Consider the following 20,721-nt stretch of genomic DNA (forward strand, 5'->3'; position numbering starts at 1 on the left):
AGCTTCTCCCAGTCTCCTTTAATAAATTTATCCTCAAAATTGATGAATAAAATTGTTAACAAATTTTTCTAAATGCTACAGGGACTTTTCTCACTGTTGGTTCCCAGTTTCATTCACTATCTCCTAAAACAGAGATACGCAGACTCACGGTCGCATCAGGCACAAGAGTAGTCAAGATTCACTGGCAACAGTTCAAATCTGGAACACTAAGAATTATCCCTAAATCTGTATTGCTTTGCTCCAAGTTGTCTTGCAATGCAGCTCTTTAAAAGTCTATGGATCCTGGCTAACATGGTGAAACCCCGTCTCTACTAAAAAATACAAAAAAAAAAAAAATTAGCCGGGTGTGGTGGCAGGTGCCTGTAGTCCCAGCTACTCGGGAGGCTGAGGCAGGAGAATGACATGAACCCGGGAGGCGGAGCTTGCAGTGAGCCGAGATTGCGCCACTGCACAGCCTGGGCGAGAGCAAGACTCTGTCTCCAAAAAAAAAAAAAAAAAAAAAAGGCTATGTAAGTGGCTCACTGTTTCTAGTCTTAAAACATTACCTCTGGATTACTAAAAGAAAGCCAGGTCATTCTATTGAATTTCTAAGAGAAAGACAAGAATAAGCAGGGAGCTATTCTCAAGCTCACAAATAATAGTTTTGCAAAGGTTTATGGACTTGTTTGGATCTCCTCACTCCAGCTCTTACTGCAATTCAAGACTAACAGCCTAGGAAGCAAGAGACCTAGCAAAGCCCCCAGGGTGTGACCCAACATCAGTCTTTCTGGTTAAACAATCTAATTTTCAAAGGGCGGAAAAAAACAAAGCATTTCTGATTGGCTCATCAACTGTTCTCCAAAGATGTAAAAGACAGTCTGGATGAGAAGAGAACTAAGAGCTCAGGGAACTGTCACTGCCTTTGCAGTTTGGTCAAGACAAAACTGTTCATTTATGCCTCTTAGGCATTTTTGTCTCTCACAGTCTCAAGATGACACTTGGATAGTAAGAGAGAGAAGTATGAGCAAGTGTACCTATTAAATATGTAAAATATACATCCTCTCTTCCATTCACTCAGAAGATGTATTTCTAAAGGGATGTGGAAAGTCACCTAATATAAAGACAGACAGGTAGAAAAAAAATCTATGCAGTTTTTTAGCACACAAGAATGCAAGTGGGCTTAGCACAACAGCCTTCCACAGAAAATAAATGCAAGCCAATTAAAAATTCAGGGTTTTTTCTTTAAGCTAATTCCTCAGGTTTTGCTAATTAGCAACCAATAGTTCTGTCATCTGAGCTGGGGAACATAGGAAGAATACCAGTGGTATGTTTTCAATCAAAGCATTTGCATGGAAGAATGAATCATATTTTCCATGAAGAACTACTGCTTAGGAGCAGTTGGGGGCAGAAGAAAAGCAGCCTTCACACAACTATAAAACTGTAAAGGAGACCTGAAATTTTTTAAAAAGCAGGCATCTTTCTGCTCCCTTTACCAAAGCCAGCAGAGACCCTATAATATGACATGACTAGTGAATCCGAGAAACTTTGCACAAAGATCCCTGCAGGAAGAGTTTAAAAACTAGACTCTTGACAGTAAGACAGAAGACAATGCAACACATGTTTTCTGTAAAAGGGAAGCGAATAAAAGTTAAGTGTCGGCCAGGGTACAGGAATGCTTTAACTATTATGTCACCTGCCTTTGAAAGTTTATAGAAGATAAATGCATGGCAGTCAATGAAAGCAGGGAGAGATGGCGGTTAGAAATACCTGGCTACAGACAGAGCATGGGCAGAAGAAAATTGCTGAGGAATCTTTGGGCAGAGGATGGGGCTTCTTACCCTGACTCTGATACAAGATCAGGTCCTCCAATCTAACCCCTACCACGCTCCCCCAAATTATAAAGCGCCAGTGATCCTGTAGCTGAAAGCCTGTCAACACCACGCCATGTCTGAGTCATGCATCTAAAACGTCTACTTTTGCGCCTTGATATACAGCCCGTCCACTGCGACCCTTCATGAGAGAATACCCCCGTATCCCCCCGGGAGATTTTATTCTAAACATATGCTGTGAATGTTTGAAGTGCCCGCTGTCCCTGAGTTTTCTTTTTTCTTTTTTTTTTAAGCCACAAAACCTAAAATACTTTGATTTTTGCCTAACTACAATTTCTGAAGATGCAACATTGCATACCCAAATATAATAAAATCTTGTGCAATAAAAATTTTACAGATGTCCTTCTGAAGGGGAAAAAAAAACAAAAATGGTTTTCCCTTTTCCGGTCTTACAGGAAGCCTGCCCACACTTTAGAAATACAAAGTTCATATATATAGAAACACAAATTAGGCATCTTGGAGAGTCTACAATTTCCAACCACAGAGAAATGAAGGAATTGCTGTGAGTGTTCACATGGCCAGCCCACTGGATTAGAGGAGTCTTTTCTTTTGACCGGCTCAGCAGAGCTAGCAAATAACTCAAGGGCAAGGGGACTGGCCTAAAAAGATGTTTCTGAACTTGAGCTACTGAAGGTCTGCAATGCGCTTGTATTGTTGACAGGGCCCACGACTGAGACAAGCTATGCCCACAAGATAAACAAATGTGACCAAAACTGTATGTCTCATTTTAAAAAGAGGGCATTTCTTCATACACTAAAAAATTCATGGAAAATTTATCACCTTCAATTCACATCAATCATTAGCTTTGCCTGGATAATTAAATCCATGTGAGCAGATAGATTTTATTATAAAGTATCTCAAAAAATACTTGTGATACTGGCAGGAGATTAAGTAATCCAACAGAGTTCTAAAGAAAAAGTAAAGTCATATCCCATATGATGCTGAGGCTTAGTTTAGGATGTCTTTAAATATTCAATATGAATAAATAATACTATATCTTTTATGTTCCTGCATGTATTAAAGTTTGCATTTGTTACATAAAACACTTTCTGCTAAGAATTTAAAATGTTAACACTTCTCAAACTCATTTAAAATCTTTACAATTTCTTCACTTACAAAACAGAAAAAAGTTATAGTCGATCTACTGAGGTTGACTGAGAAAAGATTATGTTCAGAAGGCCACAGTGCACAGCTCTAACGACACCACAGTTACAGGTTTGCAGTTTGCTCAATTCTTAATCTGTGTTATAGAAGAAACTGGTCTCAGGCAAGCAGGTGACCAGGTCTGGCAAGAAAGAAAGAAAAAAAAAAAAAACAGTCTACACTGAATCAAATACAAGTGCAACCCTCACAAACATGACTTAGAGAGTCAACTTATCACATATTGATGATGATGAGGAGGAGGAGGATGATGATGTAGAAGAGAAGGAAAAAAAGAGGAGGAGAAGGAGGAAGAGAAAGCAGAGAAGAACTACCTTAATACATTTGAGGCACTTAACATGTGCCAGAGATTTTAGTTAATACTTTATTTGCATTGTCTCAATTTCCACAAGAACACCATGGAGCAGGCAGTCATATTATCACCCTATCCCACAGTGAGGAAAGGATTCCTAGAGGGATCAGCACACTTGTCAAGGTCACACAGCTAGCAAGTGACAAAGCTGGACCTTGAACCCAAATTCCCAAGTGTTGAGCCAATCTGTGCAGTCTTTAGGACTTCCCATCCATATTATCTATATAATAATGTAATTTATGACCAATTTAGGGAGTACATTGGGATGGTAGGTCAAAATTGTATTTGCCATTTGGTTACAGAGAACTTATACAGTTTATAAGTTATCACATAATTTTAACACTGATTTGGACAATATTGTGGGAGAATGTAACGAATAATCCACTATGAATGCTGTAACCTCAAAACAGAGTGATGATGAATGAATTCAGATCCCCCTAAGAGCTCTCCCGTGCCCATCATTAGTTAATAGGACATTGGAGGTCCAGGAGATGGGTCCCACTTGCACCGCTGAAGGAAGACAAGGGTCCCAGGTGTAGAGAGCTCCCAGCCCCTCAGAGGACGGGAAGATTCAATGGGGGAAACCGTTAAAACAAACGAACCAAGAACAAGCTGCAAGTTGAATGGCACAGAGAGAAAGTTAACGGTTATCTGCTCACTACTGTCAGCCAAAAAAGAAGTACTCTTCAGCTGTCCTGACTAATTAAATACCTCACTAATTAGTGGGCATCTTGAAAAGACAACAAAACATAAATATGAGATGGGAAAAGTTTGTGTTCACACATAAGAACAAAAACAATGCAGGGAGCTTTGGCTAAGAGTCTAGCCTGAATTTTTCTTAAAAAGTAAGTCTACTACTGGGGTCTATAAATACAGGTAGAAAGCATGTAGGAGTCCCTCACATTTTCTGCATGGATGATGTTTAAAAGAGACTCACAAATAAAAATACAATGCAGAAAACTTAGGAATGTGCTCAGAGAAAAAGCCTACCAAGGCTATTTTAAACCTTCATTACTAAAAGGAAAGATGAATAAAATAAAACTAAGTAAACCCTGAATGAAGGAAGGAACAAGCCCAATAGCCTTCCTCCTTATTTCTGTATCTGCAGAAATAAGATGGACAAGCACTTTTGAAACAGAGAAGTTGTAACCTTTTTCAAAAGCTTAGAAGAATCCAGAAAACTACCCTCCGTGCTTCTGACCACTTTTTAAAAAATGCTCTCTCCACTTAAAAAAAATAATGTAGCTTCCATCTTTTCCAACAATATAATCTGGTTGGGGGGGAGGTGGTGCGGGGTAGCGGTTGCTGAGACTTAAGGTTATGCGAGGCCCTTTGATCTGAGGAGTGAGCATTCCCCTTTGCTGCAAGCCAACTAATGAAGGGATGAAATTAGCTTTTATCCTGGGCACTTTCTTGAGCAAAAAAACATGCACTAATCAGCTGTCCTCACTAATCAGTCATCTGGCTAATGACCTTTTGCCTTAAAACACTAAAATTTCTGAATGATGTGGAAAAGGGGAAACACAAACCAGTCCCCCTCACTGGAGCTCAATGGATCATCTGGAATTGGAGCCGGGAAGGTTAAATGGCAAGTCTGAATCCTGGCAAGGTGATAAATCTGTAATCAAGAGCTGCAAGCTTTGGCACCTCAATATGAACTTCATTACTCCACAACCAAATTGTATTTTTTTAACTAGAAACAGGTCAGAAATAAACTCAACCCTTATACATTTTTCTTTATATTCTGCCGTTGGAGAAAACCATCCCATACATGAGTTCAGAGTCCTAGTTAATTTCTTAAACGTGATTAGTGCTGAGAAAGGAGCTTCTGATGTGTCTGGCACGCTGGTTAGAGAGGAAAATACAGCACAAAGGAAAATCTTCCATTTTAAGGAATTTAGCACAGATTTGTTAAAAGAGGTTTGTTTTTACAAACCATCAAAAATGGGAATAGGCAAAATCATTACATTAAAAAATCATTAAAAATGGGAATTGCGGCTGTTGAGCACTTCTCTTAATGCAGCCTGCTTTCATAACTTCATAACAACAAATTTTTCTCCTGCAGCATCTGTTTGGATGGAGTAACTCTAGTTCTACTTCTCAACAAAAGTCTCATGTGGATTAGTCACAAATGGACCACTCTCCTGAAGGCCGCCCCACTGAAGACTGATGTTGCTTAGAGACGTAAGAAAACATCTCTCTCTAAAAAGAATGGGAAAGAAGTAGGGAAAGTAAGAAGGAAAGTGGAAAGAAAATTACACCTTTTAATAAATTATACAAGCCAAAACTTCATAAAGCGCGCACACACACACACACACACACACACACACACACACACACACAGCCCTCCCCATAGCTCCTGAACAAGTGCCGACTGGCATGGGCACTTACGGTAGTGGGGCTCCATGTAACCATTCCTGGGGTCCATGGCAAACACCGTCCCGCGGTACGGCACAGAGGGCTCCGCCACGTGTGGCAGGGACCCATGGATCTCTTTCTTGATCAATGAGGCCCTCTCGTCACTCGATGTTGAAGGTTCCTCACTGACTTTGCTGAGCCCCTGGACATTCTGTGGCTGCATAGTGATTGCGTTTCTTCTCTCTCTGTGATAAGTCTGTCCAGGACTTTCATCCTCTAAAGAAAGAAGAAAAATGAAAGACTCTGTAAACTACTTTAAGGAGCAATTAAAAAACCATGATCAATTAGGTCTCATTCTCGATATCCCTCTCCCGGAAAAGAAGTATCTTTCTCATTCACAGCAACTTTGAGAGCTACAGGGCTGGGATGGGATCTTTGCAGACAAAATTGTTTATGAATGAGGGTCCAAAGTACACAAATACACAGGGAAGGATGAAGGAGAGCAGGAAATGAGCCTATTAAACTGAGATGTAGGGGTTGGCAAATTGGCATCACCAGCTTCTAGATGGGTCTGCCCATGAGGTTTCTGCTCATGGGCTGGCCAACATCTTGCAGGTCCCACGTGGAACTGAAACCTTTGCCAATCTAAGACTGTGCATGTCCAGCTTCCCTTTGCCTGCCTGGGGACGCGGGGCCTCCGGGGTGACACAAAGTCCTTCCAGCTACCCACTGAGGCTCTGGTTGCTCCAGGGGATGTAGGGCCTTTGCTCCTAGAGAATGACCTATTAGGAAGCTATCCAAAAGTTTATGCTGTTTTGTTGTTTTAAGTCAGATTTGTAACCCAGCAAGAGATTTGACAGAGCCAAAAATGGAACAGAAAACTCATTGGTGAAAAGGGATAAAGGTGCCAATCATGAAAACCTACAGAGCCTCTCGTGAGATACTTCCTGCTTCTGTCCATACAACAAAGCTGAGACCTAAGAGGAACACAGAGTGAGACTGAAAGTCCAGGTGTGAGATGGCTCTGAGGGTGAGGAAGGAAGGTGTGGGGGATGTTGATATGTGTCCATGCTCTGATGGGTCCATACATTTCTTCAAACATGTAAGAAACAGCTTGAAGAAATTCCATATACAGCGGGTATTCCAGTTTCCTAATACTTCAGTTCCCTTCGATCAGTAAGAACTTTCCATTTCTCCACTATGGTTCTCTGCAAATGTGATTGGATGACCTTTCTATAATAGCAGATCAAAGAACCCATGCATAAAATTAAATCACACTGCCTATGTGAACCCACAACAAGTGGACCAATTCATCTCTTTGAATCATACATGAACTCTAAACTACATGCTCCTAAACAAGTTCCACATTTAATCAACAGACTGTGCTCTGGCAGATAAGTGCTGATGGAAAGAAAGCTGCTGTCCAGGTACCACTTAGACATCTAATGTAAAAACCGTTTCCTATTCCTATCTTAAAAAAAAACTGTATTTGGGTATAAATAATAATATTGTTGTGCATTTTAGATAAATAGATCTTGAGCACATCTTATTCTCATATACAAATTTATCTTCAAAATAATCCATAAAGCAGATATGATTAACTAAGGGCTCCCCCAATAAACATAAGAATAATGCTTTAGCAGTTTCATAACTTTGTTCAAATTCAGAAGAAAGTAGAACTGTAAACACAGACTTGCATAAAAATACAAACCGAAAATAACAAATACTATTTATGTTGACTCAGGACTTGAACTACCTAAAGCCAGCAGCAAGTTTAGTCTTTCTGCCTGTGTGTAGGACTTGAAAACTAAGCAATATATTCCTTACCTTAGCAAATGACTTGCAGAACAGAAAAGACAATGAGGTATATTTTGGTCTTTACAGAGAATTTGCTGACTACTACAAGGTAACTGTGAAATATTATTTTAATAATGTTTTGTGCAGATCCTCATCCCAAACTTTATAATTAAGGGGTAAATTATATGTTTAATCTATCAAGTAAAAACAAAAACAAAAAAAATCCTGTAATCTCACATGTTCACATTGATCTCTATGAAAGCAATTCATACCATGCTCCTTGCAATTTTAAAACAAACTACAAAAGACAAAATACATTTTTATTTTCCCCTCTAACTAATATTTTTAGGCAGTAGGTCACCCTTGTACTTCATTAGCAGAAAATTCACAGTCTATAGAATAAGAATTTTGCAGTTACGTAAAAGCAAAAGGGTGTCAAAAACACTAAAACTTATGTCAGTTTTATAAAAATTCCCATAACCTACAAATGGCCCAAGTCATATTTTCCACTAATTTGTGCTCTGTATAAAGCCTTTATTTCAAACTTAAATCTGAAATGAACTTCTAGCACTGAGGTGCAAATTCTGTAGAAAGGGACCTTCATTTGGAGGCCAGAAAACCCTTCCTCAGGGGGGCTCTGACACATAATTAGCATTCTCTGGGAAAGATGAATAACCAAACTCGGCTAACCTGTTCCAGGTTTAAAACAGGATTTCCTTGACTTAATTGTCCTAGAATAAATTAACTTTTCTTCTCTTAAAACGGCATCCCTATAATAAACCCTGTCTTAAAAACTACATGTTTATGATGAGCATTTGAATCCAACCTCACAAATAACTGAATAATGAATGGGTTATGGTCTGGCCAGAGACTCTTCCCACCATTCCCCCAACCTCTTGAGAGAATAAACTCAGGAGGGTAATCGGGGCGGCGGAGTGGGGAGGGTGAGTGGAAATGAGGGTACCTTTTAGCTCAATGATTTTCTTAATGAGAGTTCACCCAACAAAAGTAAATATTAAAGTTATAACAAGAAGTAACCGAAGTGCACATTTTTAATATGGAAAAAATTAAATTAAAATTACTATTCCCTTAGTAAAGTTAAATGCAGGCAGGAATTTTTTTTACGTGAAAACTTCCATCAGGAAACTTGCTTTTACAATAGTCAGTGCTACCCTAATTTTACCCAACCACACCTCCCCGCTCCAAAAGGAAAACTCCAGCAGACAAATACTTCATGAAGTTTACCTCCTGTACCAAGTTGCTTTTGACGGGCATTCATATGAAAACCTGACAGTATACACACTCCACAATACAAACAGCTACGAGGCTTGAAAGCACTCTGTATACAGTGAAAGGGACACTTTCCAAGCAATATTCCTGCCTGCTCTTATAAATTTAGCAACCACTTCAGCAAGCCAAAAGACGAAAGCTGTCTAATCTTGTTCAGTTGAGCCGAGTTGTTCAATAAAGTTTGAGAGTCAGTGCAGACAGGCTACGCCAGGCCAAATTATTGACAGAAACACACTGTCCACCATGGCAACAGGCAGAAGTCTGCTGCAAAAATGTAAGCAAACAGCCCACTGCTCCAAGAGCATCTGCCAATGGACTTTAACAGCCAAACACAAGGCAACTGTTCCCGCTTCTCTATGTTTAACAGCTGCAAGCTCGGGGGTCAAACCGAAACATGCAATTCACTAAAATCTTTCAGGAAAAAATGACTTTAAATACTGTCATCATAATCCCACTTTGTACCTCCTTCTCTTTTCATATCCATGCTCAAGTGGAAGTTAACAAATCCCTGCCCCCAGAGAGCTGCCCAAAGCATCACGTTTTAGAAACTGTCCCAGAATTTCCAAACTCATCCAAAAGCAAGTGACATCAAGTCAGATATTCTTGGTGCTAGAAACTCAGAAAAAAAAAAAAGTGGGGTCCTTGCAAGCAGTGCTTAGGACGTTTGCAATAAAAGTCTGGAGAAGGTAATCACGTTGCTGCATGAAGCAGGACTCGAACACGCACTTGTGGGCGCTTGCAGACAGACATCTATCCGATTTCTCATGGTAACCGAGGGAACAGGTTTCGGGTTTTTTTGTTTTGTTTTGTTTTGTTTTTTTCTGTCCATGACTTGAAAGAAAAGTTTCAGGTGATTCCTTCAAGATAAAAACAAAACTCTGCCAGGCATCACTAACTAAGGACACCTCCTGTCACCTAACAAAATTAGCTGATTAGGAGCTCACAGTACACGTGTTCACCCCCTTTTCCCACTTAACATTGATTTTCCCTTAAAACCCATTTTAATACCCACTACTCCTCTCTTGTCCCAAGACCTAGAAGATGCGGAGTATAAGAGAACAGACAATACTTACAACACAGTCCCCAGGCTCTGGCTAGCTACTTTGCGCCAACTTCTCTTGGTGAGCTCTCTCTAGCTGCGCAGACCCTCTAGGAACATTCTCGGTATCTCTCTGCCTCCCTCTCCCTCTCCCTCTCCCAGGCAATGCTGCTCCCATTAGAGGAATTAAAAGTGGTTGGAGCCATGCTAAATTTAACAAGCTCATTAGTATTCTTTCTGAGTGCTTCCGAGTGAACTCTCCCTATTCAAGCCTCTCTCTCCAGCAGAAGGGTCAGGCGGCTAATCATTAAATCAAACTAATGTCACCCTATCACAATCAGCCTGAGAGAAGGAGGGTTTATTATTTCAGTTTATGCTAAATAAACGGTTTTACAAATGGTCCCCAAGCAAGGTCAACAGCAGCTTCAATTACAAGACAAACTTAACAAGAGTTGCTATAAACCAAGTACTCTGTATTGACTTAAGAACAGGCTCCACTCCACATATTGCCACTAGCAGGATTGTACAGGAATGCATATTGTAAAATAAAGGAAGGGGTGAGCTTTTTTCTTTGCCAGAATTTGCGAGTGCACAGCGACTCCTCATTCACCTCTCTCCAACCAGCTAGCCGCTCAGCTCAATTCACCCCACACAAAGGCTGGAGCCTAGACCTCAATGGACCGAGTGAAACATGTTCAAAACTAGGCTCTCTATTGTGACTGAATTTCTTAACATCTTTTCAAAAAGCGGAGAATGCCTTGAGGCTAAAGGAAGAAACAGGCTAATGGTGAATTGGGAATTCTGAGCAAATTTCAGAGCCCTTTCCTCCTAGCTTTTGAGGTTGAAAGCAAGCTCTTTCCTTTCAAGTTTCAAAGTCCTTTTTCCTCCCGCAGTGTCACAGAAGGATTTGAAAAGAAGGTAATTGTGCTCGCAGTCTCCCTGATCAGAGCTTACGTCCTATTTCTGGTATTTCGGAATACTTCTTGCAATAATAGTGCATATAGCTCAATCCCTTAACCGGCCTGCACTCTGCAATTGCTCATTAAATGAACAATTGCGGGTATAAAATGCCTTTTATGTTCAAGGTCTGGATATAAGATAAGCATTCTAGGACTCTAAATTTGGTTTACTAAGGAAACTCTCCATCATTAAATTACAAAACTGAAGTCAGAATATCAGGCTTTCCCAGAAAAGTGGCACTCAGGTTGCAGCCAGCCAAAATGAAGGGAGGATGGGGCGGGCAGGGAGGAGGCAACAAAATGTTAAGGGGGGGTGGGGGGAAAGACCGGAGGATACTCAGATTTCTAGCCAAATGAGATTCTAACAAGAAAATACTATTTCCATATTTAAGGTCTGAGTTTGTGAAACCTTGTAACTTCTATATTGAATGATATAATAAAGTCACGTTCAAATGAATTAAAATACAGGACTGAGGCTCCATAAATATGTTGTTGACTAATCTGGACCCCTCACAAGCAAACATCTTCCCCATCCTTAAGAAAAGAAATAACCCTTTCCCATCATTATTTACATCATCTCATGTGATCCTCACAGCAACCCAATGATGGCGGTAGGACAAGGTATTAGGCCCAGCTCAGAAACTAGCCGTCATGTCCCAGGTGAGTAAGTGATGCAAAGAAACTTCCCAGTATGCTTTACTGAATCCACACCTCCCTGTCCCCTGTTAACAGGACAAGAGCTCTGTTCCTGGGTAGGCTTTTGGAATGATACCTGGATATGTGCCCCAACATCCACTACTACCACCAGTAAAAAGAAAAAAAAAAAAAGAAAAGGAATGACATTGCTATGCACAGAAAATTTCAAAACTGAGACACTCTCCCATTAAGTTTTTGACAACATAAATCCACTCCTGGGAAACACCGACAGAAGCCCAAATGACAAATCTATGGGGAGACACTGGACCCACGTGGAGGACCCGCACAGGTGCAATCCTCCCCCTACCACGCGCAAAGATACACACAGGCCCCACTCAGCACTGCACACCCTCTCCACCGCACTCCAGGACTCGGCCAGGGGCTTTGTGTGTTCCAGGCATTTTTAATGTGTCTCCAGAAGCTTGGGGCCCCACCCTCCTGTCCTGAACAAGACACAGAGCATAATCGTCTCTCCTTTCCTCCCAGGAAATTGCTTCGCTGTGTTTGCAAAGAGCATTATTTCATTTTTTTCCTATTATTCATTTGTTGCATCTTATCAGCTTTTATTTCTTTGGTTATTTACATGTTGATGCTCTTTGAATAAAAACCAACGGAATCCAAGTCCTCGCTCCCTGTTTCAGAATTCTCCCCAAGACTGACCAAAGAGAGATCAGAAATGAAAAAGAGAAGAGGCTAAGTATATTCAAAAGCATTGCAGAATTACGCTAGGAAGGGGGAATAAAGTTCCTGTAGTTTTAAAAAGCAGAATATTTCCTCTTTCCATCTAGATTGCAGTTCTGCCAAAGCCAGGGGCTGCTCCCTAGAATGTCTAGAGCTTGGCTTCCAAAGGGCGTGAGCAAACAATGCCCACTCTAAGAACATTTCCAATACCCTCGGGGTCAGACTTTGCCCTTGTGCAGCTACACATACATCTCCCATTGACAATGACGGATGACAGAGGGAGGGGCCCAGATGGATCAGGAGAAAGCACTCAGCTTTGTTTGCAACCTTTAAACTGCACTGCCAGGCCTGCAACATGAGAGGGCTGCAGCAGAATTTGAAGCCTTGGGGAAATTCAAGTGACAACTCTCCCTCAAAGATTATGGGATTGCTCTCTCTTCCTACTTTCACCAACCAGGAGGTCCCAGGGTGAAAGGAGAGAAAGTAGAAAATGCTCTCCATCAGGCCAAGCGTGGTGGATCACACCTGTAATCCCAGCACTTTGGGAGGCCGAGGTGGGCAGATAACCCAAAGTCAGGAGTTCAAGACCAGCCTGACCAACATGGAGAAACCCCATCTCTACTAAAAAAACAAAATCAGCCAGGTGTGGTGGCGCATGCCTGTAATCCCAGCTACTTAGGAGTCTGAGGCAGGAGAATCGCTTGAACCCAGGAGGCGGAGGTTGCAGTGAGCCAAGATCACGCCATTGCACTCCAGCCTGGACAACAAGAGTGAAACTCAGTCTCCAAAAAAAAAAAAAGAAAGAAAAAGAAAATGCCCTCCATCAGAGCCATAGAGTAGCTTAATTGTTTTCATATTTCTACTGTTCTTTTTACCAAAGAATAAAACATAATCTAGACTGACCAATATCCCAATGGCTTCCACTGGAAACCATTTGCTCCAAAGAGCAGCAGGTTAGAGCTCAAACCAAGGCAAAATTCTCACCTCACTCCCCAACTGCTCAGTTTACAGAGCTCCATTCAACTTCAAAAGAGGTCCCTGGGATAGAAGGGAGTGGGCAGAGAGAGCAAGATGAGAATTCAGATAAACGAAAATGTAAAACCTGAAATGGCTGTTCCCCTCACTGCAGCAGAAAGCTTTGATGGCATGCAGAGCAAGCTGCCTCCTGTATTTTTTTTTTAAAAAGATAATGACAATGATGAGCAGATAACACTATCAGCTTGTCTGAAGCTTCAGCAAGTATGCCCTGTAGCCCATAGGGTTTCCATACATTTTCCTGTGCCCCTGAACCCTCACAAATAAGAGGTCTGCAGCCCCATCTCTACCCCCGGGAGGATGCTTCTGAACACTGATGACGAGGTCAGCGAAGATTGCTGTGACCTGGTTGAACACTGCCCTGAACAGGCACTTAAGTGCAAGCACAAACCCAAGGGTACTAACCATCTTTCAAAGCTCCCTACAGAAAGACTTGCCAAATCCAGCATGCACTTGAGAACAGGAAAATATAAACAAAACAGTACCCTTGAGGGCCCCAGCGGGTTCGCCTTTAAAAGGGAGGAGATCTACCTTATTTTTCAAGCTCTTGCCAAGACTCTTTCTTGAATTAAGAATTCTAAAACAACGTCATGGAGCTTCTTCTATTAGTCTGCTATTAGTTGCCAGTCGCTGCTTACACAGAGTGAGTTAATTAGTGGCATCAAAGGCAGTACAATAAATTCCCTGGAGGGTCAAAAATTTTGCCTTTTGCTTGGTAGCACATTTATGACTATCTCTCTCTGTGAGTCACAGTCTCATGAGCATTTAGGTATTCGAGATTTCTTTGAGAATTCAGTTTTAGTCTTTGACAAGCAAAGAATGAAGAGTCTCTCTTTCTTACTTTGCACATACAGACCTGAGCAGTTAAGATTCCATAACGAGATCCACGGCCAACAGTTAAGCAGAAACAATGACAGGCCTGTTCAGAAGGCCAGAGTGTCCAGGTTGCTGCCACCTGGCTGCATCCTCCGATGGGAATGATCCTATCACTCTGGAGATCTGGCCCAGCCCCTGTGTGGCCAGAGGACTTACAGCTTGGTTTTCCTTTAAAGGCACGAAGGAATAAACCTCTGTGTGCAGCAGCTTCTTCCTTTGGCAGTGCTTTCAGATGCTGGTTCCCAGGTCCACACCCTCCTCCCATCACCAGCAAAGTTCTATTTCCTAACCTTTCTAACATTTTTCCAAACTGCAGAAGTGAACACAAACTTAATGGGCTGCATCTGGTGTGTTTATGTTGCATGTTTTTGTTTTTAGAAGATCACGGAATGAGAAAGCCTGAGCATATGGTGGTATTATATTTTTAATAACATTTTAGAGACCATGCTTATGCCCTTGCAGGAATCAGGCGCTCCTGGAGAGTGCATTTAAATATCACGATAATACCATTATTGTACCAAAAGGAGCTAGAGGCCACATGACCCCCATGAGGGACAGACAGCAAGGCTCACCTACACTCAATCAGCCTCTGGGCAAAGGCCAGGTGCTGCCCGGGTCAGGTTTCTGCAACAGAAACCCCCTTTAGCTATGGCCCACTGACCTCAGCTATGAAATGTGCATTTGAGAAACCCAAATGAAAATACCACCTTTTGATTCTTCACAATTGTATCTAAGCAGCCTGCTTCTAGTGAGTTAGCCACAAAAGTCTGTACCTTTACAAAATCTCAGATAATGGCTCAGGTACTGCCTATGAGGGAGGAGAGAAAGGCCACAAAATTTCACCTCTCACAAAGCACACCTTCATGGCCACAGACATGACGCTAGCTGCTCTCCTTCCTCACACCACAGCCCCAGGAGTTCACTCACTTAGCCACCAGGCTGCCATGTCTCTAAATTGTTTAAGGATTCGAATTTTTGGACGAAAGGAAGTGGGAGGAAGAGAAATATATAATTATTTCTATACAAAATTTCTAAACAAAAAGAAAAATGTCAAGGAAATGCACCAATTAGCATAAAAATATTTGTATGGATTTTTAACTTATATTTCTCAATCATTTAGAGTACAGAAAAAGCTGATTTGTTTGTCTTTTATTTTTAATTCTATGTATGACCTTTACTATAATTATCTAAAGAAGTTCAAATTAAGTACATACAAATTGAAAAATTATCCCACAAGTTTATCTGTTGAAGCCTTGCTTTAAACTATTTATTCCATCCCTTGAAACAATAGAACATAGCTAAGATACAGGAGGCTAGGTGTGCACATATTAATAACACCCCCCGCTGGTATAGGACTTTAAAAGATTTTGATAAATTAGCCTATGTAAAATTATGTCATTTTATGTAAAATTAGCCTATGTAAAATTATATCATTTTGATAAATTAGCCTATGTAAAATTATATCATTTTAATTATCTCCTATGCATATGCAAACACCTCCCCAAAATGTCAAAAATACCCTAAGGTCCCTCCCTGAAAACTTGTTAACTCAGCTTTTACCAGCCCACTCTGGAAAGGCATAAATGGGAAATGCGTTAACAACACTAGACTATACTCTGCGCCTCACATTTATTGAGCACTTACTAAACGCCAGGCCAGTGCTATGTGCTCCACATGCGTTAATCCCACTGAATCTTCACAGACCTGTCCAGGATGCAGTATCATCAACCAGTTATTCAGCTAAACGTCCTGAGGTTTAACAAAGATTAAGCGACTGGCTTAAAGTCACCCTTCAGGTAAGTGCCCAGCTTGGCATGACTTTCCTTTGTATTATAAATTACTATTAACCCCTAAAATGTGGCTTCTGTGAGGAGTTTTTGAGAGCATTCATTTGCTTGCCACTGTTCTATCTGTACATGTGAAGACTATTTTTTTTTTTTTGGGATGGACTTTCACTCTTGTTGCCCAGGCTGGAGGTCAAAGGCACAATCTTAGCTCACTACAACCTCTGCCTCCCAGGTTCAAGCCATTCTCCTGCCTCAACCTCCTGAGTAGCATGAGAGAGAGAGAGCCAAGCACTACACCCAGCTAATTTTTGTATTTTTAGTAGAGACAGGATTTCACAATGTTGGCCAGGCTGGTCTTGAACTCCTGACCTCAGGTGATCCACCCGCCTCGGCCTCCCAAAGTGTGGAATTACAGGCGTGATGTGAGCCACCGCGCCCAGCTGAAGACTATTTTCATTGTTAAAATTATTCTGCCTCTTCCTCTAAAGGCCGTCAGGAAGAATACTACAGACTTTAATCAAACGAACTTAACTGTAAACTTTAAGCCAGAGTCATGAATGAAACATGGTTCAGAAACTTCTTCGAATTTCTCATTCTACTTCTGTTGTCGCTGTTGTTACTTTTGTCAAGCTCAGGCCTTGGGCACATTTAGTATCTTGCAGTGTAAATGACACCTCTCATGCTGTGGCTAAATTATCTTCTTGTCACCCTATTTCTCCCCACACCTCCCCATTTCTATAGGGTTTCCAGGTTCTGAATAGCTATTTTGCAAAAAAACAAAACAAACAAACAAAAAAAACACTGTCTTCAGGGGGACTGTGATGAACGCTTAGATGCAAGAAGCAGCCTAAGTATTTGGCTTGTGCTTAACTTAACAATAGCTCCAACAGTTAGAGCCGCACATAGTTTATTGAAAGGGGCATATGTCCAAAAGTTAAAGAAGCATATGGTTTACAGAAAAAGGAAAAAAGACTTGCACTTGGAAGCAGCTTTGCTTGGATTATTTACCAACAAATGAAAGGCCCTTCATGCTGCCCAAGAGTATAATCCCTTCCCACTGGCTGGAAAGGAATGCTAAATGAGTCAATAAAGTCAGAATCATACAACACAGAGACATTCTCCCTTCCCAACTAAAGATGATTATCGAATTATAGCAAATTTAAGAAAGTTTTCTCTTTTTTTAATCAAGAACAAAACCAGACTACTTCTTAAAATGCACTATTAGGAATTGTAACTGTTCCTAAATGTGCCAGATATATTTCCATCCATGCGATATTAAAACTAACAAGCGTCTTTTCAATTTCTTTTAATGATGGGGTATGCAATAAAAATACAGCAGTGCTTCATTTAGCCAAAGGAGCTGGAGCAAAAAAGACCTAAATAAATAAATAATAAACGTGCATGGGCCACTTACCAAAACTAAAATCATTTCATTCAACCTTTTACAGGAGGTGCATGCAGTATTTTGAAAGCAAAAATTCTCATAACACAAACCTCCACTTAAAAATCACTGCCAAGGGCTGGAACCATGGCAGGATGTTATTTCTTTTTCAATTTATTTTTTAATGTTTGGGTATTAATGGCATCAACTGCCATGTAGTATAATAAGGCAGCACAGTGTAATAAAAGGAGTTAGAAAACCTAGCTCCCAGACTTGCTCCTAGCACTTAATCGGTATGTGACCCAGGGTACATTAAAATATATCAGGTTGTCAGCTGCCTCCTCTACCAAAGGCAGATAGTAAAACTTGCCCCTCTTACTTCATAGGGTATTGTGAGGGTTAAACATAATAGCATATGAAAGAGAGCTTTATAAACTGTGGCATTTATGAAAGCTAGGTACTATCACTAACCTGATAATCTGTGTGATAATGCAAAACAGGGTGGCAAGATAATTGAGCCCTGGGCCAGGCATTGGATTTCCAGGCCTTGGATGTCCAGGTTGAATATCCCTTATTCAAAATGCTTGAGACCAGAAGTCTTTCGGATTTGAAATTTTGTCAGATTTTGGAATATTTGCATATACATAATGAGATATCTTGGGGATAGGACCCAAGTCTAAACACAAAATTCATTTATGCTTCACATACACCTCATATCCATAGCCTTGGGGTCACGGCATACAATATTTCTAATAATTTTGTGTATGAAACAAAGTTTTGACAGCAGCCCCTCACATGAGATCAGGTGTAGAGTTTTCTACTTGTGGCATCACGTTGGTGCTCCCAAAGTTTCAGATTTGGAAGCATTTGGGATTCCAGATTTTCAGATCAGGGATGCCCAACCTATACTGCTAGAAATGTCTAATGTTAGGCAAGTCACAGAATTTCTTTGGGCTGCTGCTTCCCCTTATATAAAATGGGACATCTCCTATCAACTTCAGCCAACTTCTCATAGATGTCCTAGGAAAAAGGATGGTGCAGAAGAGAGCTCCGTAACCTCTAAGGCAACAGACCAGTGGACGCCTTCACCAAGCATCAGGATAGACAGCTTAGGAGGGAATAACTGCTGTTTTACAACCAGAAAAAAAGCTCCAAGTTAATAATCTATAATTAAAACTGGTCATCTCTTTTACCCACTTCTTCAACGTATCTCTGGTCAAGCCCCAAATCAACATTTACTAGACAAGTATGCTTAGTTCTTCAAATATCTGTTGAAAACATCAATCCCTTCTACTTGGTTTTCTACAGTGACTTGAGACACTTGAAATTTTCCCGAGGAATACATTTTGTTTCTCCATAAACAATATTTACTAAGAAAAATCAAGCAAATTATTTTAGGGTGATTACTGACAACCTGTATCCTCTGACTGCTTTTGTACAGCCTGTGAGCTCAAATATATCTCAAACTTTTTAATGGATGAAAAATAACCAAAAGAAGAATAATATTTCACAACAGGCAAAAATGATAGGAAATTTAAATTTCAAGGTCCATAAATAATGTTTTGTTGGAACACAGCCAGGCTCATTCATTTTCATGTTGTCTACAGCTGTTTTGGAGCCACAACAGCAGAGTTGAGTAGTGATAGAAACTAAATCGCCTGTTAAAATCTGAAAACATTTACTAGCTGGTCTTTTGCAGAAAAGTCGTGTTGTCCTCTGACCTACCTTGTCTCAGGATATGACAACAACACCCATTAGTAAAACTATGAAACACACCTAGGAAAAATATTCAAAAAATAAGGTAACTATCATCTCCACAGTATTTAATATGAATGCTTTGAAATCTTAAAATAACTATGAGGCAGACAGCAATATCATCCTACAGATGACGGAAATAGGCTTAGAGAAATTAACTTCTCCAAAGTCACAAAGTTAGTAAGTCAGGGATCAAATCAGTCTCCTATGATTCTGAACCTGACAATTATATGACCTAGTGTGGCACATACATTTGTTAATAGGGATGAAAGAGGCATATCCAAGAATAAAGTTTTGAGAGTTCCTCTTCCCACATAATTGGGAAACTCCTTGCTAGAGGCAGAAACAAATGTAGTCAGGATTCTGAGGGAGTGTTTCCACCTCTTGTGTCAAAAATTGGGTAATAGGGTTTAGAGCAGGCTGAGTCAACACAAACAATACAAACCAGCCCAGGTTGGTTCTTCACATTCAATTCATACAGACTCATCCATGTCAAGGGCTCCGTGTGTCCCAGCATGAACCCTGACCTTCTAAGGGGAGTAAAAACAGAATGGCTGCTGCCCTCAAGGCCCACATTACTGATTTTTCTAGATGAGAAACTACCTGAGAAGGGACGCAGAGGCTACAGGGTTAACACAGGGTAAGCAGTAATGTAAACATTAGGTAAAGGCCATGGAGAGGAAAGGCCTCTTCTTCAGGTTTTGACTGTGGGGGGATAGACCAGGCTTACCTTTGTAGAGGAGGTTTGAACAAGAATTGGTTTGGAAAGTCTCTAGTTCAAATTTTCAAAGAGGCTGCGATCTCAACCCAACCCCTCAGGGATAGATTCAACTGAACTTTACAGTCTCAATGACTACTCTGATACTCTAAAATGTTGCACCTTTGGTTTAAGTTGAGAACACATGTAATTTTTTCTGCATTTTTCTTTATTCTTTAATTCACATCTTGTTGACACAAATGGAAATGTACTTTTTTGGCAGAAAAACTTTAAGAGAAATAATAATAGATTTCGCACTGCACTGCTGCCAAGTCATTCAAAGAACTCTTCCATCCTAATCACATTGTCTGGGCCAGTTCTACGAAAGTTCCCAAGAAGAGTTGATGAAAACGGCAAACGAAAGACATAATCAAGGCTGTGTTACTGTGCCTGACAATTCTGTCAATTCTACTGAGTTCCTCTTATCTACTCTACTGCCTGTAGACAAAAATAAAAATCTTAGTATGGACCAGCTAGAAAACGAAACCACCCCTCCTATAAAATGAATGCACCTCAGAGCTCATTCAGCAGAATATTAGCAACCACTGCAACTTCAACCCCTGCTTTGTCACAAAGAAGCAGCTTCTCCTTGGCTCCCAAGTAGCTCGGCCTTACAAAGCTCTCTTGCCTAAAGGAAATTCATTTCTGTTTCCCTTTCTATGCATTACTGTCTCTGAAGTCCTGGGGAGGAGTGGTCCAGGGGAAGGAGGAATAAACACCTTTTTTTTTTTTTTTTTTTTTTTTTTTGTATTTTCAACCTATCTTCAAATCTACACGGCAAACTTGGAATTTCCTGTCAAATAACAACTATCCTCACAAACTAGATATCTTCCATCCAAACACTGATCTTTTGCAATACTGACCTCCTTCTGTAATATTCAGGTCACAGTCTTCCTTGCCAAAGGCCTCATAAATTACTCAGACTCAAA

The 20,721-nt window shown here is 40.6% G+C and overlaps 1 protein-coding gene across 8 annotated transcripts in view, besides 2 other annotated features; it reads right to left on the reverse strand.

Annotated features, from left to right (window-relative positions):
- GLI3 (GLI family zinc finger 3) overlaps nt 1-20,721 on the reverse strand; it is a 303,320-nt gene that overhangs the window by 181,505 nt on the left and 101,094 nt on the right. For 7 of the 8 annotated variants that reach the window (XM_047420208.1, XM_047420207.1, XM_047420205.1 and 4 more), the window contains one exon: nt 5,773-6,015. In XM_047420208.1, the coding sequence (XP_047276164.1) occupies nt 5,773-6,015 (243 nt within the window). Of the gene's footprint in view, nt 1-5,772; nt 6,016-9,899; nt 10,001-20,721 lie in introns of those variants that run through there. The other variant, XM_011515274.3, reaches the window with a different exon arrangement.
- Nucleotides 3,550-5,456: an enhancer, noted in NCBI's record as "VISTA enhancer hs1586". NCBI's record gives its function as "enhancer in: limb[3/3]" and the evidence as "EXISTENCE:transgenic organism evidence [ECO:0001131][PMID:17130149]".
- Nucleotides 9,676-11,586: an enhancer, noted in NCBI's record as "VISTA enhancer hs111". NCBI's record gives its function as "enhancer in: forebrain[4/4]" and the evidence as "EXISTENCE:transgenic organism evidence [ECO:0001131][PMID:17130149]".

The sequence above is a fragment of the Homo sapiens genome, chromosome 7 (genome assembly GCF_000001405.40).
Source record: "Homo sapiens chromosome 7, GRCh38.p14 Primary Assembly".
Lineage (NCBI taxonomy): Eukaryota > Metazoa > Chordata > Mammalia > Primates > Hominidae > Homo > Homo sapiens.